The sequence below is a fragment of the Homo sapiens genome, chromosome 4 (genome assembly GCF_000001405.40).
Source record: "Homo sapiens chromosome 4, GRCh38.p14 Primary Assembly".
Classification (NCBI taxonomy): Eukaryota; Metazoa; Chordata; class Mammalia; order Primates; family Hominidae; genus Homo; species Homo sapiens.
In genome coordinates, this window is record NC_000004.12 from 122749501 (window position 1) to 122750226 (window position 726).

General features: G+C 36.5%; 1 annotated feature.

Moving 5' to 3' along the window:
* Window positions 212-353: a transcriptional cis regulatory region, noted in NCBI's record as "candidate enhancer chr4.2649 targeted for multiplex CRISPR interference". NCBI's record gives its function as "positively regulates BBS12, FGF2 and SPATA5 gene expression with high confidence in K562 cells {active_cell/tissue: K562}" and the evidence as "EXISTENCE:mutant phenotype evidence [ECO:0000015][PMID:30612741]".

Consider the following 726-nt stretch of genomic DNA (forward strand, 5'->3'; position numbering starts at 1 on the left):
GTAGTGCTAAATATTTATTAAATTCATGCATTTTTTCCTTTGAAATTAGAAGTCTCACCCTAATAGAGATTTTATTAATTTGTTTTGTTTCTACATCCTAAAAAACTTTATACTATCATGGAGTTTATTAGCCATTTAAAAAATTCTTATAATAACAAGAAATACCTTTAAGTTTTAACTATTCCAGGAACTATTCTGTCCTTGCAAACTGAGGGCAGTCCCTGGACTAAATTTGGTTCATGTAAGTAAGTGGGTTTTCGAGGAAACCTTATCTATAAGCAGTTACACATTTCCCAGAAGACCAGAGCAGTGTTGACCTCTTTGTGAGACTGAACTGCCTTTTTAATATGACTATAAGAACGCTTGCTGGCATTCTACATCTACATTTTTTCACCCAAGAGAAGCCTGTCTTCAGAAGGATGAATAACTCCTCTTGGACCAGGTATTAACTAGCTCTTCAAAAATAATCTTTAAGAAATTTAAACAGTAGAATTCCTACAATTCCCAGAATATGGGCAGATGTGCCCCTCTACCCAGTAACGGGAGAGATACAGAATCATCAGAAAGGAAGGTGGGAAGCAGCAAGAGTGAAAGGGTTACCAACAGGCTATTATGAGCTACAGTTTCCAAAATTACTAACAAGTGCTTCCAAAAAGAGAGGACTCTACCTGAATGGAAATATGGGTAAGCAGTTTTGAGAACTAACTCATGGGCCACACATTCTGG